Source organism: Homo sapiens, chromosome 7 (genome assembly GCF_000001405.40).
Source record: "Homo sapiens chromosome 7, GRCh38.p14 Primary Assembly".
Classification (NCBI taxonomy): domain Eukaryota; kingdom Metazoa; phylum Chordata; class Mammalia; order Primates; family Hominidae; genus Homo; species Homo sapiens.
This window is the reverse complement of record NC_000007.14, coordinates 31,130,554-31,157,156: the sequence shown is the minus strand read 5'-3', so window position 1 is coordinate 31,157,156 and position 26,603 is coordinate 31,130,554. Positions and strand designations below refer to the sequence as shown.

Sequence of the window (26,603 nt, the reverse complement as noted above, 5' to 3'; positions counted from 1 at the left end):
AAAAAATATTCAACATCACTGATCATTAGAGAAATGCAAATCAAAACCACAATGAGATACCATCTCACACCAGTCAGAATGGCAATTATTGAAAAGTCAAAAAACAACAGATGCTGGTGAGGTTGTGGAGAAAAAGGAACACTTTTACACTGTTGGTGGGGGTACAAATTAGTTCAACCATTGTGGAAGACAGTGTGGTGATTCCTCAAAGACTTAAGAGGCAGAAATACCATTTGATCCAGCAATCCCACTACTGGGTATATACCCAAAGGAATATAAATCATTCTATTATAAAGATACATGCACACATATGTTCACTGCAGTACCATTCACAAGAGCAAAGACATGGAATCAACCTACATGCCCATTAATGATAGACTAGATAAAGAAAATGTGGTACATATACACCCTGGAATACTATGCAGCCATAAAAAGGAATGAGATCATGTCCTTTGCAGGAACATGAATGGAGCTGGAAAGCCATTATACTCAGCAAACTAATGCAGAACAGAAAACCAAATACTGCATGTTCTCACATATAAGTAGGAGATAAATGATGAGAACACATGGACACATGGGGGGAACAACACACACTGGAGGCTGTCAGAGGGTGGGTGCAGGAGGAGGGAGAGCATCAGGAAGAATAGTTAATGGATGCTGAGCTTAACACCTATGTAATGGGATGATCTGTGCAGCAAACCACCATGACACATGCTTATCTATGTAACAAACCTGTACATCCTGCACATGTACCCCAGAACTTAAAAGTTGGAAAAAACATAAATAAATAAATCTCTTTTTAAGTACCATGTGCTACATCCCACAAAGTTTAATGTATTATACAAATTTTAATGTATATTTTCATTGTACATAGTTCTAAGTATTCTTTATTTCTATTAAGTTTTCTTCTTTGATATATTAATTTTTTAAAGTGTGCTTTTTAATTTCAAATGTGTGGGATTTAATTTTTTATTTCTAGTCCATCTGAGGTCAGAGAACAAAATGTTGTTGAAATTATTATAGATTTGTATACAAGTTTTATTCTTTGAGAAGAAAGTATATTCTACTTGTCAGTGCAGAATTTTTATAAGCTTCACTAGTTCGAAGTTGTTAGACTATATTGTTCAAATATTCTCCAGCTTTAATAATTTTTGTTGGCTTATTTGTAATTGAATGTGCTATGTTGAAATCTCCCATTATGATGATGACTGTCAATTTATCCTTACAATCTTATCAATCTGGCATATGTATTGACATTTATATATTTTTATTTCTCTACATTATTTTATAGGCATATAGAGTTTATAATGATTATGTCTTCCTGGTGAATTAAAATTTTTATATTATGTAGTGACCCTCTGATATGGTTTGGCTGTGTCCCCACTCAAAATTCAACTTGAATTGTATCTCCCAGAATTCCCACAGGTAGTGTGAGGGACCCAGGAGGAGGTAATTGAATCATGGCAGCCAGTCTTTCCTGTGCCATTATTGTGATAGTAAGTCTCACAAGATCTGATGGGCTTATCAGGGGGTTCTGCTTTTACTTCTTTCTCATTTTCTCTTGCCACCACCATGTAAGAAGTGCCTTTCACCTCCTGCCATGATTCTGAGGTTTCCTGAGCCATGTGGAACTGTAAGTCCAGTTAAACCTCTTTTTCTTCCCAGTCTCGGGTATGTCTTTAACAGCAGCAAGAAAACGGACTAATACACCCGCCTTGTCCTGAATTATTTTATTTCACTTAAATTATATTTTGTATTTGTCTAAACGTAATAGTGCTACCGTAGTTTTCTTTTGGTTAGTGTTGCAGGGTATATATTTTTCTATTCTTTCACCATCACCTTTTCAATGTTCTTCTTCTTTTACTTATGAATAAAATAAACAGATTTTTAAAAATTTTTACCCAACCTGACAAAGTTCATCTTATAACTGGTGGATTGAGTCTACTTTTATTATGACTTCTGGTATACTTTGTCTGGTTTTAACAATCTTAATTATCAAATCTATATTTCTATCTCTTTTTAATGCTTGTTTTCTCTCTCTTCTTTTTCTTTTTATAGTTGGTAAGCCTTTATTCATCATTTTCTTAATCCATTTTTGCTATTCCACTGGCTTAGAATTTTATACCCTTATATATATTTTGATTCTGTCTTTTTTAACTCCATAAATTAGACATTGTTTAAATAATATATGTTTAGATTTATACACTTATTTTTATTAATTTTCTTAATCTTTCTTCTTACATCTTAGACCAAAGACAATTCAGATCATTTTCCTTCTGCCTGAATCAAAATTTCTTTAGTGAATATTTCTTGAAGGCAAATGACTTCTATTTTGGTATACCTGAAAATGTCCTGCAACATGATTTTCTAGGTTGGCAATTATTTTCTATCAACAAATTGGAACTATTCCATTGTCTACTGTCCTCTGTTGTTGCTGCTAACATCTGCTGTCAATCAAATTGTCCTTCTTTTGTAAGACATGTGTTCTATTTCCAGCTGCTGTAACAGTAACAGAAACAGACAAAGCCCAAGCCTCTAACTTCATACCAGGTACTGTCTAAATCTACTAGGAACACATAGATGATAAGCAAACATATGTATGTGTGTGTGTATATATATACATATATGTGTGTGTATATATATGTGTGTATATATATATATACACATACACATATATATGCATGTATATATATACACACACATACATATATATGCATGTATACACACACACACACACATATATATACATATATATATGAAGAGGGCCACCATCCTCCAGACCCCAGAATGGTAGATCCACTGACAGCTTGCACCGTGAACCTGGAAAAGCTGCAGACACTCAACGCAAGCCCATGAAAGCAGCCAGCATACATACATATATATATGCCATATATATATTTATATTTATTTATTTATTTTTTAGTATTTATTGATCATTCTGGGGTGTTTCTCAGAGAGGGGGATGTGGCAGGGTCATAGGATAATAGTGGAGAGAAGGTCAGCAGATAAACACGAGAACAAAGGTCTCCAGTTTTCCTAGGCAGAGGTCCCTGCGGCCTTCCGCCCTGTTTGTGTCCCCAGGTACTTGAGATTAGGGAGTGGTGATGACTCTTAAGGAGCATGCTGTCTTCAAGCATCTGTTTAACAAAGCACATCGTGCACCGCCCTTAATCCATTTAACCCTGAGTTGACACAGCACATGTTTCAGAGAGCAGGGGGTTGGGGGTAAGGTTATAGATTAACAGCACCCCAAGGCAGAAGAATTTTTCTTAGTACAGAACAAAATGGAGTCTCCTATGTCTACTTCTTTCTACACAGACACAGGAACAATCTGATCTCTCTTTCTTTTCCTGACATTTCCCCCTTTTCTTTTTGACAAAACCACCATCATCATCAATGGCCCGTTCTCGATGGTCGCTGTCTCTTCGGAGCTGTTGGGTACACTTCCCAGACGGGGTGGCCTGGCAGAGGCGCTCCTCACTTCCCAGATGGGGCGGCCGGGCAGAGGCGCTCCTCACTTCCCAGAGGGGGTGGCTGGGCAGAGGCACTCCTCACTTCCCAGACGGGGGCAGCCAGGCAGAGGTGCTCCTCACTTCCCAGTCGGGGCGGCCGGGCAGAGGGGCTCCTCACATCCCAGACAATGGGCGGCTAGGCAGAGACGCTGCTCACTTCCTAGACGGGGTGGTGGGCGGGCAGAGGCCGTAATCTTAGCACTTTGGGAGGACAAGGCAGGCGGCTGGGAGGCGGAGGTTGTAGCAAGCCGAGATCACACCACTGCACTCAATGGGCAACATTGAGCATTGAGTGAGCGAGACTCCGTCTGCAATCCCAGCACCTCGGGAGGCCGAGGCAGGCAGATCACCCGAGGCCAGGAGCTGGAGACCAGCCCGGTCAACACGGCAAAACCCCATCTCCACCAAAAATACAAAAACCAGTCAGGAGAGGCAGCGCGTGCCTGGAATCCCAGGCACTTGGCAGGCCGAGGCAGGAGAATCACCAGAGCCCGAGGGAGGGAGGTTGCAGCGAGCCGAGATCATGGCAGTACAGTCCAGGCTCCGCAAGAGAGGGAGACAGTAGAAAGAGGGAGACGGAGAGCAAGACCGAGAGGGAGAGGGAGAGGGAGAGGGAGCTGTATATATTTATATTTATATCAATAATTAAGTGCTCTGAAAAAAGATAATAAAGCTGCATGAGAAGGCAAAGAAAGCGACAGCGAATTCTCTTTTGTATGCGATGATCAGAAAAAAATTTCACTGGCAAAGATCTCGTTGCACAGGGACCTTAGGGCAGTGAGGGGAGCCAGCTCTGTGGCTATCTAAAGGCAAAATGTCCCAAGGACAGAGAATAGCCATTGCAAAGGCCCTGATGTGGGGGGAATGTCACTTCTTATATCAGTTTGCTAGGGCTACCATAACGAACTATCACAGACTGAGTGGTTTAAACCACGGACATTTATTTTTTTCACAATTCTGGAGGCTGGAAGCCCAAGATCAAGGTGCCAGCAGGGTCGATTTCTCCTGTGGCATCTCTCTTTGGTTTTCAAATGGTTGACTCTCCCTATGTCAACCTCTCTGTCAGAAACACAGGAAGAAAGCCAATGTGAATAGAGTGAAGCATACAAAGGTGAAATGTTCTGGAGAAAATGTTAGAGAGGCAGCATTGAATGCACTGAAGATTACGGGCCATTTTAAAGACTTTGGAGAGTTTTAAGGAGAGGAGTGTTACGGACTGAATTGTGTCCTCTCCCCACCGAATTCATATGTTAAGAACTAAATACGACTGCGTTTGGAGATAGGAACTTAGTAAAGGGTAAGTGAGGTCATAAGGGTGGGACTCTAATCCAATATGACTAGTGTCCTTACAAGAAGAGGAAGACACACATGAGATTTGCACACACAGAAAAAAGGCCACACATGGTTGTTGGGAGACTCAATCACATGCAAACCAAAGAGAGTCCACAGGAGAAACCAACCCTGCTGGCACCTTGATCTTGGGCTTACAGCCTCCAGAATGGTGTGAAAATAAATGTCCATTGTTTTTAAGCCGCCTAGTCTGTGACATTTTGTTATGGCAGCCCTAGCAAACGAATACAAGCAATGACATGATCTGGCTGCTTTTTTGATGCAGCCAGTTCTTTTCTCCTAGTCTCTGCCCTTCAGTTTAGGATACCTTACTATAACTTTGCCAGAATATTAACCTCTTACATCCAAGGATCTTGGGTTCCTTGGAATGGTCCAGACACAGATTGATTCTTTGTTGTCTTCATTTAATCTGGCATTTTAAATCTTGCATAAAATTCCTTTATGTTCCTAACATGAGGAGGCAACCTCTCTAGTTCCCAATACTATTGTATGTTCTATCTGTTTTATATTTGAAAAATCCATTTCACTGAGAATCTGCAAAGATGGTATTATATAGATATGCTTACTTCAACTCTCTAGGAAGTCTGATAAAAGCCTTCTTAAATGAATATTGGCTATAGTAACAGATTTACTAAAGGTTTCTTGATGTAGCAAGGTTGTGTATTTAATAGTCTTTCTAGTTTATGAAAGTCTTCTAACCTACCTGGTAATGAAGCAGCAGACAAACAACATCTGGGCAGATATTTATCTTGTTAAGTTAAATATGCACCTGGCCCCTTAATTATCAACTGTAATTGACAACTTCATCATCGCAGAGTACTTTTCTGTCCCTGCCACAGTGGTGCAAGCAATTAGGTAATAATTAATGATTCTTTAAGTGTACTATTTCCTGTGAGTTCAATTTTTACTGTACCTACATTTAAAGAGCAACAACTCTGTTTGGTTTACCCATATTGACAAATGTTAGAATGAATGAAAATTGCCATGCTTATTATGAGTATCTCAAGGGATCATCTATAATCATTTCTGACCTTTTATCAACTCCTCATAGTGCTTGCTTTATTTACATCAAATCTTATCAAATAACCATTAAGCATTAGAGTAATTCATAGGAACCAAATGCATACATTTTAACAAAGATGCTCATTACCATATTATATATAAGGAAATATGTAAATATGTAAATGACCAATATTGGGGAAAGGTAAGTAAGTTGTTATACCTGAACTAAACATCATGCAAAACTTTTAAATTATAATTTTGAAAGTAATAAAACAAAATGAAATATGTTATATCAAAAAAGACATAAAATTCTCTAATTATATCAAATATGTATTTTAATAAAGAAATGAAAAAATAGATGGGCTAGACCTATCCCCAAATGAAAACTGTATCACTGGAGGGCAGTAAAATATACATTTTATTTAAGTAAAAATTTTATTTACATTTTGAATAGGTAAAACATGCCCACAATACAACATCCAAAAAATACAAAAGAATATGCATTAAAAAGTTAATATTCATCTTGGACCTGTCCCCAATAACCTTGTTTCATTCCCTAGAAACAGCTTTTCTAAAAACTGGCAGCTTTTACTAGCTTTGCATTTTATTCCAGAGACAGTCTATCCACTTATAAAAATATGTATACAAAATCTTTTTTCACACAAATGGTAGCAGTAATACCACACACATTGTTCTACACTTTGCTTTTTTCACTCAGTAATATTTGGAATAGTTCCATGTCATTACATAGAAAGCTACCTAATTATTTTTAATTGCTATGTTTTATTAAATGAATTTATCATAATTTATTTAACCATCTTGTATTCATGTACACTTAGGTTCATTCCAGTCATTTGCTATTTGAATTAATATATCACACAGTAGCCAGAGAGATCCATTTAAAATATAAATGAGGTCAGACTTCTGATTTAAATATAGCATTATAAAGTTAGAATTTCTCCATTCATCTTCCTGGAAGTCTTTGTAAGGTTAAAAAAAAAACAATTAGAAAAATAGACACAGGAATCATAAGCACTTTCTTTGTAGCAGTGGGTAAAAAGGAAAATTCCACAAATGTTTATCCAGTTTATAGAAAATAAATTAAGTTAGATGAACTTATACACCAAACCCTGGGTCAGAAAATTTTACCTAGTTTGATAGAGAGCCCTGATTGTTCTACACAAGCCTCTTATAAGCAATTGGTGTCAGAAATTTGTATATACTTCAAAGATTAGTAATCAGAGATTTATGCTTCTGGTAATGACAGAATAGCTGGTTTCAGACTAACTCTCCCTACTAAAGACAACTAGAAATGTTTAGAATCCATTTTTAAAATAGGTATTTAAAAATACTCGAGAGCTAAAAAGGTAGTGAGAACTTAAACCAAGATCCTTGAGAAAAATAATTTATAAAGAGGTGAGCTTGGCAGTGATTTCATATGGCAAATAATTTTTTTTAATTTCACTTTAAGTTCCAGGATACTATGTGCATGGTAGTTTGCTGCACCTATCAACCTATCACCTAGACATTAAGCCCCTCATGCATTGGCTATTTGTCCTCATGCTCTCCCTCCCCTTGCTCCCCACCAACAGGCTTCAGTGTGTGTTGTTCCCCTCCCTGTGGCCATGCATTCTCATTGTTCAGCTTCCACTTATGAGTGAGAACATGTGGTGTTTGGTTTTCTGTTCCTGTGTTAGTTTGCTGAGGATGATGGCTTCCAGCTTCATCCATTTCCCTGCAAAGGACATGATCTCATTCCTTTTTATGGCTGCATAGTATTCCATGGCATATATGTACCACATTTTCTTTATCCAGTCTATCATTGATGGGCGTTTGGGTTGGTTCCATATCTTTGCTATTGTGAATAGTGCTGCAATAAACATACGTGTACATGTATCTTTATAATAGAGTGATTTATATTCCTTTGGGTATATATCCAGTAATGGGATTGCTGAGTCAAATGGTATTTCTGGTTCTAGATTTTTGAGGAATCACCACACTGTCTTCCACAATGGTTGAACTAATTTACACTCCCACCTATTTCTCCAAAGCCTTGCCAGCATCTGTTGTTTCTTGACTTTTTAATAATAGCCATTCTGACTGGTGTGAGATGGTATCTCATTGTGTTTTTGATTTGCATTTCTCTAATGATCAGTAATGTTGAGCTTTTTTGCATATGTTTGTTGGCTGCAAAAATGTCTTCTTTTGAGAAATGTCTGTTTATGTCCTACGCTCACTTTTTGTTGGGGTTGTTTTTTTCTTGTAAATTTGTTTAAGTTCCTTGTAAATTCTGCATATTAGAACTTTGTTTGTTGGGTAAATTGCAAAAATTTTCTCCCATTTTGTAGGCTGCCTGTTAACTCTGATGATAGTTTATTTTTCTATGCAGAATCTCTTTAGTTTAATTATATCCCATTTGTGAATTTTAGCTTTTGTTGCAATTGTTTTTGGTGATTTCGTAATAAAATCTTTGCCTATGCCTATGTCCTGAATGGTATTGCCTAGATTTTCTTCTAGGGTTTTTGTGGTTTGGGGTTTTACCTTTAAGTCTTTAATCCATTTTGAGTTAATTTTTGTATAAGGTGTAAGGAAGGGGTCCAGTTTCAGTTTTCTGCATATGGTTAGCCAGTTTTCCAACACCATTTATTAAATAAGGAATCCTTTTCCCATTGCTTGTTTTGGTCAGATTTGTCCAAGATCAGATAATTGTAGACATGTGGTCTTATTTTTGAGGTCTCTATTCTGTTCCATTGGTCTATATATCTGTTTTGGTACCAGTATCATGCTGTTTTGGTTACTGTAGCCTTGTAGTATAGTTTGAAGTCAGGTAGCATGATGCCTCCAGCTTTGTTCTTTTGGCTTAAGATTGACTTGGCTATACGGGCTCTTTTTTGGTTCCATATGACTTTTAAAGTAGTTTTTCCTAATTCTGTGAAGAATGTCAATGGTAGCTTGATGGGAATACCATTGAATCTATAAATTACTTTGGGCAGTATGGTCATTTTCACGATATTGATTTTTCCTATCCATAAGCATGGAATGTTTTTCCATTTGTTTGTATTCTCTCTTATTTATATTATTTTATAGTTCTCCTTGAAGAGGTCATTTACATCCCTTGTTAGCTGTGTTCCTGGGTATTTTATTCTCTTTGTAGGCATTGTGAATGTGAGTTCATTCATGATTTGGCTCTCCGCTTGTCTATTATTGGTATATAGGAATGCTTGTGATTTTTGCACATTGATTTTGTATCCTGAGACTTCCCTGAAGTTGCTTATCAGCTTAAGGAGATTTTGGGCTGAGACGATGGGGTTTTCTAAATATACAATCATGTCGTCTGCAAACAGGGAGAATTTGACTTCCTTTCTTCCTATTTGAATACCATTTATTTCTTTCTTTTGTCTGATTGCCCTGGCCAGAACTTCCAATACTATGTTGAATAGGATGAGAGAGGGCATCCTTGTCTTGTGCCAGTTTTCAAAGGGAATGCTTCAAAGGGAATATGGTGAGAGAGGGCATCCTTGTCTTGTGCCAGTTTTCAAAGGGAATGCTTCCAGCTTTTGCCCATTCAGTATGATATTGGCTGTGGGTTTGTCACAAACAGCTCTTGTTATTTTGAGGTATGTTCCATCAATACCTAGTTTATTCAGAGTTTTTAATACGGAGGGATATTGAATTTTATCAAAGGCCTTTTCTGCATCTATTGAGATAATCATGTGTTTTTTGTCATTGGTTCTGTTTATGTGATGGATTATGTTTATTGATTTGTGTATGTTGAACCAGCCTTGCATCCCAGGGATGAAGCTGACTTGATCATGGTTCATAAGCTTTTTGATGTACTGCTGGATTCAGTTTGCCAGTATTTTACTGAGGATTTTTGCATAAATGTTCATCAGGGATATTGGCCTGAAGTGCTCTTTTTTTGTATGTCTCTGCCAGGTTTTGGTATCAGGATGATGCTGGCCTCATAAAACGAGTTAGGGAGGAGTCCCTCTTTTTCAATTGTTTGGAATAGTTTCAGGAGGAATGGTACCAGCTCCTCTTTGTCTTACGTGGGCAAGGGTTGGTCTTTGTGTTCTATTCAGACCTTCATCTGATTGGATGAGACTCACCCACATTGTAAAAAGTAATCTGCTTTCCTCAAAGTCCACCAATTTAAACATTAATCTCAGAGAGAGGGTAGAGCGAGATGGCTGAATAGAAGCCTCCACCATTCTCCCCGCCACCCCACATGAACACCAATTTAACAACGATCTATACAAAAAAGCCCCTTCATTAGATCCAAAAATCAGGTGAGCAATCACATCACCTGGTTTTAACTTCATATCACTGAAAGAGGCACTATGGAGGGTAGGAAAGACAGTCTTGACTCCCCAGTGCCACCCTCCCCACATCCCCCATCAGTGGCTGTGTGGTGCGGATAATCTGTGCAGTAGGGGAAGGGAGAGCACAGTGATTGTGGGAGCCTGCATTGAACTCAGTGCTGCCCTGCCACGGCAGAAAGCAAAACTGGGCTAAACTCAGCTGATGCCCGCCCATGGAGGAAGCATGTAGACCAGCCTTTCCCAGAGGGGAATCACCACTCCTAGTGGTCAGAACCTGAGTTTTCGCAAGCCTCTCCACTGTGAACTAAAGTGCTCTGGGGTGTCAAATAAACTTGAAAGGCAATTTAGGCCATAAGGACTGCAATTCCTAGGCAAATCCTAGTGCTGTGCTGAGCCCAGAGCTAGTGAATATGGGGGGCACATGACCTACTGAGACACCAGCTAGGGTGGCTAAGGGAGTGCTTACACCACCCCTCCCCCAACCCCAGGCAGCACAGCTCACAGTAACAAAAGTGACTCCTTCCTTCTGCTTGAGGAGAGGAGATGGAAGAGTGAAGGGAACTTCATCTTGCATCTTGGATACCAGCTCAGCCACAGTAGCATAGGGCACTAGGAAATCATGAGGCCCCCATTCCAGGCCCTAGCACCCAGACAACATTTCTAGATACACCCAAGGCCAGAAGGGAATCCGTTGCCTTGAAGGGAAGGGCTCAGTCCTGGATGATTCATCATCTGCTGACTAAAGAGCCCTTGGGCATTGAAGAACCAGCAGCAATATCCAGGTACTATGTCAAGGGCCTTATGTGAAGTTCTGAGATATGCTGGCTTCAAGTGAGACCCAGCACATTCCCAGCTGTGGTGGCTATGGTGAGAGACTCCTTCTGCTTGAATAAAACAGAGGGAAAAGTAAAAAATGACTTAGTCTTGTACCTTAGGTACCAGCTTGGCCACAGTGGGGTAGAACACCAAGCAGGCTCTTGTGGTCCCTGATTCCAGGCCTTGGCTCCCAAATGGCATCTCTGGACCTGCCCAGAAACTGAAGGAACTTACCACCCTGAAGGGAAAGACACAAGCCTGGCTGGCTTTGCCACCTGCTGAATGTACAGCCCTAGGACCTTGAGTGAGCATAGATGTTAGCCAATTAGTGGTTACAGTGGGCCTTGGGTGAGATGCAGCACTGTGCTGGCCTCAGGTCTGACCTAGTGCAGTCCCAGTGGTGGTGCCTGGAACTTGTGTCCAAAGGAGTGCTTGTGTCACCCCACTCCTAGCTCAGCTCTCTCAGAAAGAGATATTCTGTTTGTTTGGGAGAAAGTAAGGGAAGAGAACAAGAATCTCTGCCTGGTAATCCAGATAATTCTTCCAGGTTGTATCCAAGACCACCAAGGCTGCTATGAGTACCTCTATGAGTCTGCAAGAACCACAGCATTACTGGGTTTGGAGTGCCCCCTAATGCACATACAACTTAGCTACAACTCCCAAGTCCCTTCAGATACATGGAAAACCTTCCCAAGAAGGATGGGTACAAACAAGCACAGACTGTGAAGACTATAATAAATACCTAACTCTTCAATGCCAAGACAGCAACAAACATCCACAAGCATCAAGACCATGACTTCACCAAATGAATTAAATAGGGGACCAAGGACCAGTCCTGGAGAAACAGACATATGTAACCTTTCAGACAGAGAATTCAAAATAGTTGTTTTGAAGAAACTAAATAAAATTCAAGATAGCACAGAAAGGGAACTCATAATTCTATCAATAAATTTAACAAATAGATTAAAATAATTAGAATTGAACAGAAATTCGGGAGTTGAAAAATGCAACTGACATACTGAAGAATGCATCAGAGTCTCTTAATTGCAGAATTGATTGAGAAGAAACAATCTGTGATCTTGAAGACAGGCCATTTGAAAATACACGGTCAGAGGAGACTAAAGAAAAAATAAAAAAGAATGAGGCATGCCCACAAGATCTAGAAAATAGCCTCAAAAGGGCAAATCCAAGAGTTATTGGCCTTAAAGAAGAGGTTGAGAAAGAGACAGGGATGGAAAGTTTATTCAAAGGGATAGTAACAGAAAACTTCTCAACCTAGGAAAAGATCAGTGTTCAAGTACAAAAAGGTTATAGAACACCAAGCAGATTTAACCCAAAGAAAACTACCTCAAGGCATTTAATAATCTAACTCCCAAAGATCAAGGATAAAGAAAGTATCCTAAAAGCATCAAGAGAAAAGAAATAAATACCATACAATGGAGCTCTAATGCATCTGGCAGCAGACTTTTCAGTGTAATCTTACAGGCCAGGAGAGTGTGGCATGCCATATTTAAAGTGCTGAAAGAAAAAACTTTTATTCTGGAATACTATATCCAGTGAAAATATCCTTCAAACATGAAGGAGAAATAAAGACTTTCTTAGACAAAAAAAAGCTGAAGGATTTTATCAACACCAGACGTGTCCTAAAAGAAATGCTAAAGGGAGAAAGAAAGCCAAAAGAAGGAAGGGAGGGAGGGAGGGAAAGAAAGAAAGGGAGGGAGGGAGGTAGGGAGGGAGGAAGGAAGGAAGGAAGGGAAAGAAAGAAAGAGAAAGAAAGAAAGAACGAAAGAACAAAAGAACGAAAGAACGAAAGAACGAAAGAAAGAAAGAAAGAAAGAAAGAAAGAAAGAAAGAAAGGAAGGAAGAAAGGGAGAGAGAGAGAAAGAAAGAAAGAAAGAAAGAGAAAGAAAGAGAAAAGAGAAGAAAAGAAAAGAAAGAAAGAAAAGGAAGGAAAGAAGGAAGGAAGGAAGGAAGGAAGGAAGGTAGGGGCATTAATGAGCAATAAGAAATCATCTGAAGGTACAAAACTCCCTGGTAACAGCAAAGACACAGAAAAACACTAAAACACTGAATATTATAACACTGTAATTAATCTGTGTAAACTACTGTTAGAAAGACTAAAAGATGAACCAATCAAAAATAATAACTACAACAACCTTTAAAGATATAGACAGTACAATAAGATATAAATAGAAGCAATAAAAAGATTAAAAGTGGGGGAGTTTTGTAGAGTATGTCTCCTTTTTGTTCATTTGTTTCTGCAATCAGTGTTAAGTTGTCATCACTTTAAATTAATGGATTATAATATAGTATTTGCAAGCCTCATCATAATCTCAAATCAAAAAGCATACAGCAGATACACAAAAAATAAAAAGTAAAAATTAAATCATACCACCAGAAATAATCACCTTCACTAAAAGTAAGATGGGACGGAAGAAAAGAAGGAAGAGAAGACCACACGACAACCAGAAAACAAATAACAAAATGGCAGCAGTAAGTCTTCACTTATCAATAATAACACCGAATGTAAATAGACTAAACTCTCCTATCAAAAGACACAGAGTGGCTGAGTGAAAATTAAAAAATAAAAAAAATAAGACCCAATTGCCTGCTGCCTATGAGAAATACCCTTCACCTATAAACAAACATAGACTGAAAATAAAGATATGGAAATAGATATTCCATGCCAATGGAAACCAAAAAAGAGTAGGAGTAGCTATACTTACATCAGACAAAATAGATTTCAAGTAAAAACTGTACGAAGAGACAAAGAAGGTCATTGTATAATGATAAAGAAGTCAACTCAGCAAAAGGATACAATAACTGTAAAAATATGTGCACCCAATACTGGGGCACCCAGATATATAGAGCAACTACTATTAGAGCTAAAGACAGAGATAGACCCCAATACAATAATAGCTGGAGACTTAAACACCCACTTTCCTCATTGGATGGATCTCCCAGACAGAAAGTCAATAAAGAGACATCAGACTTAATCTGCACTATAGACCAAATGGACTTAATAGATATTTACAGAACATTTCATCCAATGGCTGCAGAATACACATTCTTCTCCACAGCACATGGATCATTCTTAAGGATAGACCACGTTAGGTCATAAAACAAGTCTTAAAACATTCAAAATAACTGAAATAATATCTAGCATCTTCTCTGACCACAATAGAATAAAACTAGAATCAATAACTAGAGAAATTTTGGAAACTATACAAACACATGGAAATTAAGCAATATGCTCCTGAATGATCAGTGGGTCAATGAAGAAATTAAGGAGACTGAAAAATGTCTTGAAACAAATGATAATGGAAACACAACATAAGAAAACCTATGGGATAAAATGAAAGCAGTACTAAGAGGGAAGTTTATAGCTATGAGTGCCTACATCAAAAAGGAAGAAAAACTTCAAATAAATAACTTAATGATTCATCTTAAAGAACTAGAAAAGCAAGACCAAACCAAACCCAAAATTACTAGAAGAGATATTCAAGATCGGAGCAGAAGTAAATGAAATTGAATTACAAAACATCAATGAAACAAAAAGTTGGTTTTTTGAAAAGATAAACAAAATTGACAAACCTTCAGGCAGACTAAGAAAGAAAGTAAAAAGATCCAAATAAATAAAATCAGAGATGAAAGGAGACATTACAATCAATACTGCAGAAACTCAAAGGATCTTTAGTGGCTACTAGGAGCAACTATATGCCAATAGATTGGAAAATCTAGAAGAAGTGGATGAAATTCTTAGACACACACAACCTACCAAAATTAAGCCATGAAGAAATCCAAAACCTGAACAGCCCAATAAAAAGTAATGAGACTGAAGCCATAATAAAAAGTGTCCCAGCAAATAAATGCCTGGGACCTGACAACTTCACTATTTAATTCTACCAAACATTTAAAGAAAAACTGATACCAATCCTATTCAAACTACTTCAAAAGATAGAGTGAATACTTCCAAACTCATTCTACAAAGTCAGTATTACCCTGATACCAAAATCAGACAAATACACATTTTTAAAAAAATCCACAAAACTACAGGCCAATATCCCTGATGAATATTGATGCAAAAAACCTCAACAAAATACTTGCAAACAAAATTCAACAAAATACTAAAAAAATCGTTCATCATGACCAAGTGGGATTTATCCCAGGGATGCAAGGATAATTCCACATACACAAATCAATCAATGTGATATATCGTGTCAACAAAATGGAGAAAAAAATCTATGTGATTATCCCCATTGAAGCTGAAAAAGCATTTGATAAAATTCAACATCCCTTCATAATAAAAACTCTCAAAAAACTGGGTATAGAGAGAACATACTTCACCATAATACAAGCCATACACAACAGACCCACACCTAGTATAATACTGAATGGGGAAAAACTGAAAGCCTTTCCTCTAAGGTGTAGAACATGACAAAGATGCCCACTTTCACCACTGTCACTTAACACAGTACTGAAAGTCCTAGCTAGAGCAATCACAGAAGAGAAAGAAATAAAGGAAATCCAAACTGAAAAGAAAGTAATCAAATTATCCCTGTTTGAGGATGATATAATCTTACATTTGGAAAAACCTAAAGACTCCACAAAGAAACTATTAGAACTGATAGACAAGCTCAGCAAACTTGCAGGATACAATATCAACATACAAAAATCAGTAGCATTTCTATATGCCAACAGCAAACAATCTGAAAAAGAGATGAGGAAAGTAATCTCATTAACAAAAGCTACAAATAAAGTTAAATACCTAAAAATTAACTTAACCAAAGAAGTGAAAGATCTCTGTAATGAAAACTATAAAATCCTGATGAAAGAAATTGAAGAGGACACGAAAATAATGGAAATATATTCTATGTTCATGGATTGGAAGAATGAATATTGTTATAATGTCCATACTACCCAAAGCAATTTACAAATTTAGTGCAATCCCTATCAAAATACCAATGATATTCTTCACAGAAATAGAAAAAAAATCTTAAAAATTTTATATAGAACTGCAAAAGACCCAGAATAGCCAAAGCTGTCTGGAGAAAAAAGAACAAAACTGAAGGAATCACAGTACCTGACTTCAAGTTATACTACAGAGCTTTAGTAACCAAAACAGCATGGTACTGGCATAAAAACAGACACATAGACCAATGGAACAGAATAAAGAACCCAGAAACAAATCCACACACCTACGGCAAACTCATTTTTAAAAAGAACATACACTGGGGTAAAGACAGTCTCTTCAATAAATGGTGCTAGGAAAACTGGCTATCCATATGCAGAAGAATCAGACTAGACCCCTAACTCTCACCACATACAAAAATCAAATCAAAGTTGATTAAAGACTTAAATCTAAAACCTGAAACTATGAAACTACTACAACAAAACATGAGGGAAACTTTCCAGGACATTGGAGTAGACAAAGATTTCTTGAGTAATACCAGACAAGCATAGGCTACCAAAGAAAAAAATGGACAAATGGGAACTCATCAAGTTAAAAAAAAAATCCCTCTGCACAGCAAAGAAAACAATCAATAAAGAGAATAGACAACACACAGAATGGGCTAAAATATTTGCAAACTACCCATCTGACAAGAGATTAATAACCAAAATATAAAAGGAGCTCAGACAACTCTATAGGAAAAAAATCTAATAAGCCAATTAAAAGATGGGCAAAATATTTGAGTAGACATTTCTCAGAGAAGACATACAAATGGGCAACAGGCATATAAAAACGTGTTCAACATCACTGATCATCAGAGAAATGCAAATGAAAACTACAATGACGTATCATCTCACTTCAGTTAAAATGGCTTTTATCCAAAGACAGGCAATACAAATGCTGGCGAGGATGTGGAGAAAACCTCGTACGCTGTTGGTGGGAATGTAAATTAAGACCACCACTATGGAGAGCAGTTTGGAGATTCCTCAAAAAACTAAAACTAGAGCTACCATATGATCCACTACTTGGTATATACCCCCAAAAAAGGAAATCAGTATATCAAAGAGATATCTGCACTCTTATGTTTACAGCAGCACTATTCACAATAGCCAAGATTTGGAAGCAACCCAAGTTCCACCAGCACACAAACAGATAAAGAAAATGTGGTACATATACACAATTGTGGACTATTCAGCCATAGAAAAAGAATAAGAGCCTGTCATTTGCAACAATATGGATGGAAATGGAGATCATTATGTTAAGTGAAATAAGCCAGGCACAGAAAGACAAATTTCACATGTTCTCAATTATTTGTGAGAGCTAAAAAATAAAACAATGAAACTCATGGAGCTAGAGAGTAGAAGGAAGGTTACCAGAGGCTGGGAAGGCTAATTGGACTGAGGGGTGGGCAGGAGGGGGAGGGGAATGTGGGGATGGTTAGTGGGTGCAAAAAAGTAGAAAGAATGAATAAGACCTAGTATTTGATAGCACAATAGAGTGACTATAGTCAATAATAATTTAATGATACATTTTAAGATAACTAAGAGTATAATTGGACTTTTTGTATTGCAAAGGATAAATGCATGAGGGGATAGATACCCCATTTACCCTAATGTAATTATTACACATTGCATGCCTGTATCAAAATATCTTATGTACCCCAGAAATATGTACTCCTACTGCATACTCACAATTAAAAATAAAAAATTTTTAAAGAAAAAAATAAAATAAAATAAATGTTAATCTCATCCAAAAACATTCTCATAGAAATACACAGAATAATGTTTAACCAACTATCTAGAAACTGAGCCCAGCCAAGTTGATACACACAATTAACCATCACATTTCCTAATACTGAACAATTCTAACATTATCAGAATAAACACAATTCATGGAATATTATTTGCATCGATCTGCTACTGAATTCTTTTCACAATTTTTACATCAATATTCAAAATAAAGATTTATCTATCATTTTCTATTTCCTCTTTGACAGGCTTGATATTAGCATGTTTTTCACATCATCAGATGAATGTGAAGGATTTTTCTTTTTTTCCATTCTATTCTGCAGATATTTAAAGTGCATTAAAGTTCCATGTTCAGCAAAGTTATGGTCATATAGTTTCATGAAATCATCTGGGCCTGGTGCATTTTGTGGAGGCTAGCAGTAACTCTTTGGCAAATTTCTCTATTTCTTCTACTGTCTTTGGCCTATATATGTTTTAACTCTTTTAAGATACATTTTGGGCCGGGTGCGGTGGCTCACGCCTGTAATCCCAGCATTTTCGGAGACTGAGGCGGGTGGATCACCTGAGGTCAGAAGTTCGAGACCAGCCTGACCAACAAGGCGAAACCCGTCTCTACTAAAAAGACAAAGATTAGCTGGGCGTGGTGGCCAGTGCCTGTTAGTGCTAGCTACTCGGGAGGCTGAGACAGGAGAATTGCTTGAACCCGGGAGGCGGAGCCTGCAGTGAGCCGAGATCACACCACTGCACTCCAGCCTGGGCGACAGATCAAGACTCTGTCTCAAAAAAAAAAAAAAAAAAAGGCCAAGCGCGGTGCTCACGTCTGTAATCTCAGCACTTTGGGAGGCCGAGGCGGGCAGATCACGAGGTCAGGAGATCGAGACCATCCTGGCTAACACGGTGAAACCAGGTCTCTACTAAAAATACAAAAAATTAGCCGGGCGTGGTGGCGGGCGCCTGTAGTCCCAGATACAGGTTGAGGTAGGAGAATGGCGTGAACCCGGGAGGCGGACGTTACAGTGAGCCGAGATGGCGCCACTGCACTCCAGCCTGAGAGACAGAGCAAGACTCCATTTCAAAAAAAAAAGATACATTTTGTTACTTCATATTTTCCTATAATGTCAACCAATTTCATATAGGTATATTTGTAAATATTAAGCAAAAATCATGTTATGCTGGTTCATTTACTTTCCTCTGGTTTTGCAATTAGTTCTACATTGTCATTTCTAATACATGGTTTTAGGTATTCCTTTTAAAAAACGATTAGATGACCTAATAGTTTATATATTTCTCTGATTTTTCAAACAAACTCATGCATTTATTTAGTTTCTATAAATGTTTCTAGTTTCTAACATATACATTTCTGCTTTTATTTTTTCTGCTTTTCTTGGGTTCGATTATTTTACTCCTAACTTTTTAATTCAATACTTATTTTTTATGACCATAAGTATGTGGAGTGTATTTTTTTCAAGTTCTTTCCAACTATTATTGGATTATACTATTCAAAAAATGCATACACATAGAACAAAGTTTTCTAAGAAAGTACATTAAATCTATGTTCTATTTTCAAGGCTACTGAAATAGTAGCCTCGACATATATAAAAGACATGAATAGTAGCCTTGAAATATATAAAAGATGGGTGATCATTTCCTTTTGTTACTCTTTGGAAATAATGGCAAAACAGCATAATAACAGTATAGCTTATGGCTGTGAACTTGGACTCTGCCATCTTGCAGCTCTGGATTAAACTCTCGACCTTATTACTTACCTGCTGTGCGATTTTTGGGAGGTTACTTATATTCCCTGGGCTTCTGTGTCCTTACCTGAAAAAATAAGGATTTAAAAAACAAAAAAGATATTTATTACAGAGGACTGTGGCAAGAGGTGAACCTGGCTGGGCTTTTGGGTAGGGTGGGGACTTGGAGAACTTTTCTGTCTAGCTAAAGGATTGTAAATGCACCAATCAGCACTCTGTCAAAACGGACCAATCAGCTCCCTGTAAAATGGACCAATCAGCTCTCTGTAAAATGGCCCAGTCAGCAGGATGTGGGTGGGGCCAAGTAAGGGAATAAACGCAGGCCACCCAAGCCAGCGGCTGCAACCTGCTCGGATGCCCTTCCACAGCGTGGAAGCTTTGTTTTTTTGTTCCTTGCAATAATTGTTGCTGCAGCTCGCTTTTTGGATCTGCGCCACTTTTATGAGCTGTAAGGCTCACTGGGAAGGTCTGCAGCTTTACTCCTGAAGGCAGCGAGACCACGAACCCGCCAGAAGAAACAAACTCCAGACACATCTAAACATCTGAAGGAACAAAGTCTGGACACACCATTTTTAAGAACTGTAATGCTCAGCGCGAGGGTCCGCAACGTTATTCTTGAAGTCAGCGAGACCGAGAACCCACTGGAAGGAACCGATTCTGGACACATCAGGATGATGAAAAGTAAAAATCATTTTGAAAAGCATAGAACAGTGCTTTGTCACACAAGTTCAATTACTGTATTTGCTTGTTTATGAAGTAAGTGAATATTACACTTATGGTTTATTTCAGAAGGCTGATAGCATATCAATATTGATTTACAGAGGTCTGGACAAGAAGGCCTGGTTCAAACCCATGACAGAAATGGAGCCTATTCATTCACATATTTGTGAGGGTCCATACCTCCTATCAATGGTTTTCAATGGCCCTTGGAATAGAGTCTCCAGTGGCTCCAATATCTCCAGTTACTTCCATTGGCCTGGGGAGAGAGTACAAACTCCCAGGTGCAGCTCTGCACACCACGGTCCCTAGTCACATCTCCCAACCTTCATTCCCATTCTAAGAAAACTTTCAGTTTCTCAAAAAAGCCATGTTCTCTCTGCAGCTTTCTCTATTACAGGGTTTCTCAAGCTTAGCACTACTAATATTTGGAAGTTAATATTTGTTGTGGGGGGACTGTCCTGGGCATCGCCGGATGTTTAGAGCATCCTTGGATTTCCCCACTAGATGTCAGGAGAAAACCCCACTCCTTCCCCAGAGCGTAACAACCAAAAATGTCTATGGATATTGTCAAATGGCTCCTTCCAGGCAGAGTCACTCCCAGCTGAAATCTGCTCTATCAAGAATGCTGTTACCCCTATTTGCCTGGCTAACTTCAACTCATCCTTAAAGTTTCAGCTTGGAAGTCACTGCTGTATCCCCAGTGTGAATACCAGGGCTTGTGTAATTAAATAGATGATCCCAAAACCGGCGCCATTATTCAGTACAAACGGAAAGGGAGGGGTGGGGGCAGACATGAAGTTAGGGAGCATTATGGTAGCAGATTGGAAAAGGCGCTAGACTTATGTAAGAAAACAGGATGACTTTTAGCTTCCAGAAATGATTAGGTTAAAAGGTGACATGAGACCGCCCGGTGGCTCACGCCTGTAATCCCATCAATTTGGGAGGCCGAGGTGGGTGGATTGCCTGAGGTCAGAAGTTCGAGACCAGCCTGGCCAACATAATGAAACCCCGTCTCTACTAAAAACACAAAAATTAGCTGGGTGTAGTGGCGGGCCCTGTCCCAGCTACTCGGGAGGCTGAGGCAGGAGAATTGCTTGAACACGGGAGGCGAAGCTTGCAATGAGCCAAGACCGCACCACTGCACTCCAGCCTGGGTGATGGAGAGAGACTTTGTCTCAGAAAACAAACAAACAAACAAAAAATTCACATCAGTGAGGATGGAACTATAAAAAGAAGAATGGATTGGGATGAGAGAGGGTGGAGAGAAGGAAGAGTTCAATTTTTGTGTTTTATTTGATGTGATTTTATTATTTTTTTTTATTTTTTATTTTATTTGAGACGGAGTCTCACTCTGTCGCCCAGGCTGGAGTGCAGTGGCGCCATCTCGGCTCACTGCAAGCTCCGCCTCCCGGGTTCACACCATTCTCCTGCCTCACCCTCCCGAGTAGCTGAGACTACAGGAGCCCGCCACCACGCCCAGGTAATTTTTTGTATTTTTAGTAGAGACGGGGTTTCACCGTATTAGCCAGGATGTTCTCGATCTCCTGACCTCGTGATCCGCCCGCCTCGGCCTCCCAAAGTGCTGTGATTACAGGCGTGATCCACCGCGCCAGGCCTATTTTATTTATGTTTGAAATGGAGTCTCACTCTGCCGCCCAGGCTGGAGTGCAGTAGCGCGATCTTGGCACACTGCAACCTCTGCTTCCCAGATTCAACCGATTCTCCTGCCTCAGCCTCCTGAGTAGCTGGGATTACAGGTGCCTGTTACCAGGCCAAGCTAATTTCTTTTGTATTTTTAGTAGAGACGGGGTTTCGCCATGTTGGCCAGGCTGATCTTGATCTCTTGACCTCAAGTGATCCACCCGCTTCGGCCTCCCAAAGTGCTGGGTGGCATGAGCCACCGCGCCCAACCAAGAATTCAGTTTTTGAAGTAACAGTGTGAGGGGTCTATTCAACAGCTCAGCGGGGTTGCTTAAGAGAGGCCAGTGCTCATGGCGCGAGAGAGGGAAGCAGTCGCTGTGCCTTTCTTGCCTGGAGTTCGATCTGTGTCCTTAGCGGGCACCTAAGGTTCTTGTGGAACCCACAAACTCCCTTTCTTCCACCGGCACCCCACCATACGAAACACACGGTTTCCCTACCTTTGAAATCACGCAAACACCGCTGCTGGAAGGAATCTAATGTTTAAATGGGATGAGGAAGGGATGAGAAGTGAAGAGCGAAGTGGGAGAGAGAATGACGGTGGCCGAGAGAAGCTGTCTTCAGACCCTGCCTGCCCTCGCCCTGGGCCCGTGGAGCTCAGGAAGGCACTTTAATCCGAACATCTAGTGCCATCTAGTGGCCGATTGTTAGAACTAGAGGAACGGTTTCCTGCGGCCTGGACCAAAGAGGGCAAAAGCCGCCGGGAGGAGAGGAATGAGGGACTTGGGGAAGCAGGAAAGGATACAAGCAGTGATTGGAAAAACAGACATGAGCTCTTCTCTTGGATCCAGGATTCAAACATCCATCTTGGGACAGGGCACATGCACTATACTCAGGCTGTCTGTTGGCGGTCCTTCATCGGCAGCAGCCCCTCTCAGGGAGGCCAGCTGCTCAGAGCCAGATCACTGCCCTGCAATCCTCCCCAGACTCCTAGGCCTCTTTCTTTGCCGGATCATAAGATCCCTCATGCCTGGTTGATGCTGTTCCTTGCTGAAGTTTTTCTCCCAATTATTAGCAGCCTGAATTACCAGTGCTTGTGTATGTTATTTCTTATTTGGAAATCCAACAAGCTTTTAATTAGAGAAGCAACAGGAAGAGATATTAAGCTATATTAATGCGTCTGAAAACCCAGCACAGCTAAAAGAAAAGTAATCTCATAGATAACAGCACTGCTGAAAATTACAGAACAGCTTCCAGTAAATAACTAAATGGAAAGTCCCAGAGAGGGTCAATTGTTGCCGGTTAATATTTGTAGTAAAGTACAGCACTTGATAATGCTGCTGTTTCTTATTCTTACGGGAAGCAAACAACAAGAGTTGGGATTTCCCCTTGAGATCCTAATTCCCAGATCCTGCTACAATGAATTTAATGAAAGTTTATCTTCTAAATACTTCCTTCACCAGTAACTCCTAGAAAGGTCTCTAGGATGCTTTTCTTTCCAAGGAATGTCACAAACATGACCATATCTCAGGTCTGAAGATAAGCACCGAAGCAGATTGTTTGCAAAAATGCCTACGATTATTCCCCTCCTTGTATGCACTCCTTGAATCTGGGCTGCCTTTGACTTACTTTGTCCAATTAAATACCATGGAAGGCACTTGTTAATGCTAAGCCTGGGCTTCAATAAGCTAGCCAAGGCACCAGGACATTTGAGAGAGCTCAGCCAAGATCAACAAAGCCATCTGTAGCCAAGTAGAGGACCCAGAAGGAACCAGAAGAACCCAGCTGTTCCCACCCCAAATGGTCAAATCTTCAGAATCATGAGCTAAGTAAACAACGGTTTTGTTTTTTGTTTGGTTGGTTGGTTGGTTGGTTGTTTTTGTTTTTTTTGAGACAGAGCCTTGCTCTGTCGCCGAGGCTGGAGTGCTGTGGCACGATCTCAGCTCACTGCAACCTCCGCTCCTGGGTTCCAGTGATTCTCCTGCCTCAGCATCTCGAGTAGCTGGCATTACAGGCACCCACCACCATGCCTGGCTAATTTTTATACTTTTAGTAGAGATGTGGTTTCACCACGTTGGCCAAGCTGGTCTCGAACTCCTGACCTCAAGTGATCTGCTTGCCTCGGCCCAGGATTACAGGAGCAAGCCACGGCGCCCGGCTGATGGTTGTTTTAAGACCCTAACTTTTGAAGTGGTTTGTGATATAGCAATAACTAATAGATATAAGCATTATGACTAAATTGCATCCTAGAAAGTTTATGTTTCCTGACTGCATGGAAAACCATGATACACATTTTCTTAAAAAGGGCATTGGAGGAACTGGCCAAATAGGATTAAGGAGGTTGGGGGCCTCCTCATGTTGCTGATCAGGGAAGTCTCTGGATTTCCCTTTGGAGTCATCCGAAGTAACCCTGGCTATAAGAAAATCTATTCAATCATTAGCAGATTCTAGTTAAGCAGATAGATGAAATTTTAATAAGGTATAATTCTGGTTGTTACCATACTTACCTAAATTCCTCATTTATTTCATGCCTAATTTATTGTAACAGCTAATTTCTCTTACCCTAGATTTATTTCTACTTCAATTTAAATTGTTGTCTACAATCAAACCAATTTTTATCCTAATGTCTCTTTTAATATGTTGATCCCCTGCTCAAAATTCTTCAATATCTCCCTATTTCCTGCCACACAAAAATAGTCCCTGAAAACAAAATTAGCAAAATTAATTAATTAAAAGTTAATAAATTAGACAAAAATTTTAAAAGTCTTTTCTTCTAAAAATACAGTTAAGACAATGAAGACAAGCAACAAACTGGGGGAAGATATTTGTAAATCACATATCTGATGAAGGTCTTGTATAAATAATATGGATTTTAAAAACTCTCACAATTCAATAAGAAATCAAATTAGCCAACTTTTAGAAAAACTGGAAAAAGACATGAACAGATATTTAGCCAAAAAGATATGAGTAGCAAATAAACACATAAAAAGATATTCATCAGCATAATTAGAGAAGTGCAGATCAAAACTATAATTAGATCTTGCTGCACGCCTATTAGAATAGCTGAATAGCTTTTTTTTTTTTTTTTTTTTTTTGAGACGGAGTTTCACTCTTGTTGCCCAGACTGGAGTGCAATGGCGTGACTTTGGCTCACTGCAACCTCAGCCTCTGGGGTTCAAGTGACTTTTTTGCCTCTGTAACCTCTGCCTCTGTGGTTCAAGGGATTCTTTTGCCTCAGCCTCACGAGTAGCTGGGATTACAGGCGCCTGCCACCACACCCAGCTAATTTTTTGTATTTTTAGTAGAGACGGCGTTTCACCATGTTTGGCTAGGCTGGTCTCGAACCTGCCTTGGCCTCCCAAAGTGCTGGGATTACAGGCATGAGCCACCGTGCCTGGCCAGAATAGCTTTTTAAAAGCTAACAACATAGAGCGCTGATGAGGATGTAGAGCAGCTGGAACTCTGTTATATTTCAGGTGGATATGCAAAATGGTACAACCACTTTGGAAAATGGTTTGACAATTTCTTACAGGGGATAGGGAGAATTACTACATAAACTTCAGCAAATTCACTCCTTGAAATTGTAGACAGACTTTTAAAATAGCTAATTACAAAAACTGAATTGAAATATTAGAAAATGCTGAAGACGTTAAATATAAAAAGTGGAGCTTATTCTATTATAGTATTAGTATAAAATACAGTTTACATTGGATAAAGATGAGTAAAACTAAACTTTTAATGTTTAATATTATTATATTGGTTAAATCTGAATTTACAGATCCTCCCAAATATGTCTGACTCATGTGTATTCAAAGGTACTTACAGCAATGTTTCTAAACACTTTTTAACTTTTTAAAAAACAACTTTATTGATATGTAATTCAGATACCAACCAAGTCACCCACTTAAAGTGTACACTTCAATGGTTTCAGTATATTCACAGATATTTGCACTTATCACCCCAGTCAATTTAGGAGCATTTTATCAACTCAAAATGCAACCTCATACCCTTAGCAATTATCCCTGTATCCACCTCCCCGTCCTCCCTCAGCCCTAAGTAATTACTATTCCACCTTCTGTCTCTGTAGACTTCTCTGTTCTGGAATTTCACATGAATGGAATCATATAATGTATATTCTTTTGTGACTGGCATCTTTCACTTAGCATAGCATTTCCAAGATCCATCCATGCTTTTGAAGGTATCAGTACTTCATTCCCTTTTCTGGCCAATTAACAATCTATTGTACCATATAGCACATTTGTTCATCTGTCAGTTGATGGCATTTGGGTTGTTCCCACTTTGGGCTATTATGAAGAATGCTGCTTGAAACATTTACATACAAGTTTTTTAATTTTTCTTCTTTCTGAATATAGACATTTACAATGATAAATTCTCCTATAAGTTTTGCTTTAGCTGCATCCTATAAATTTTTGATATATTGATCTTTATTTTCATTTACCACAAAGTAGTTTCTGAATTCTTTTTTCTGTTTGTTTTTGTTTTTGTTTTTGTTTTTGACAGAATCTTGCCCTGTCACTCAGGCTGGATTACAATGGTGTGATCTCGGCTCACTGCACCCTCCACCTCCCGGGTTCAAGCAATTCTACTGTCTCAGCCTCCAAAGTAGCTGGGACTACAGGCACAGGCCACCATGCCCAGCTAATTTTTGTATTTTTACTAGAGTCAGGGTTTCACCATATTGGTCAGGCTGGTCTCGAACTTCTGACCTCAGGTGATCCACCCGCCTCAGAGTCCCAAAGTGCAGGGATTACAGGTGTGAGCCACCGCGC

General features: G+C 39.2%; 1 long non-coding RNA gene across 3 annotated transcripts in view, besides 2 other annotated features; it reads right to left on the bottom strand.

Moving 5' to 3' along the window:
* The window catches only part of LOC107986781 (uncharacterized), a 73,782-nt gene extending 51,268 nt beyond the window's left edge, over positions 1 to 22,514 (bottom strand). For all 3 annotated transcript variants that reach the window (XR_001745159.1, XR_001745160.2, XR_001745158.1), the window contains exons 1-2: positions 22,314 to 22,514; positions 19,468 to 19,522 (exon numbers count right to left, since the gene is read on the bottom strand). This is a non-coding gene — a long non-coding RNA (uncharacterized LOC107986781). The remainder of the gene's footprint in view (positions 1 to 19,467; positions 19,523 to 22,313) is intronic.
* Positions 22,420 to 22,519: a silencer, noted in NCBI's record as "silent region_18076". NCBI's record gives its function as "represses an Ori minimal core promoter by ATAC-STARR-seq in GM12878 lymphoblastoid cells {active_cell/tissue: GM12878}" and the evidence as "EXISTENCE:reporter gene assay evidence [ECO:0000049][PMID:35858748]".
* Positions 22,540 to 22,589: a silencer, noted in NCBI's record as "silent region_18075". NCBI's record gives its function as "represses an Ori minimal core promoter by ATAC-STARR-seq in GM12878 lymphoblastoid cells {active_cell/tissue: GM12878}" and the evidence as "EXISTENCE:reporter gene assay evidence [ECO:0000049][PMID:35858748]".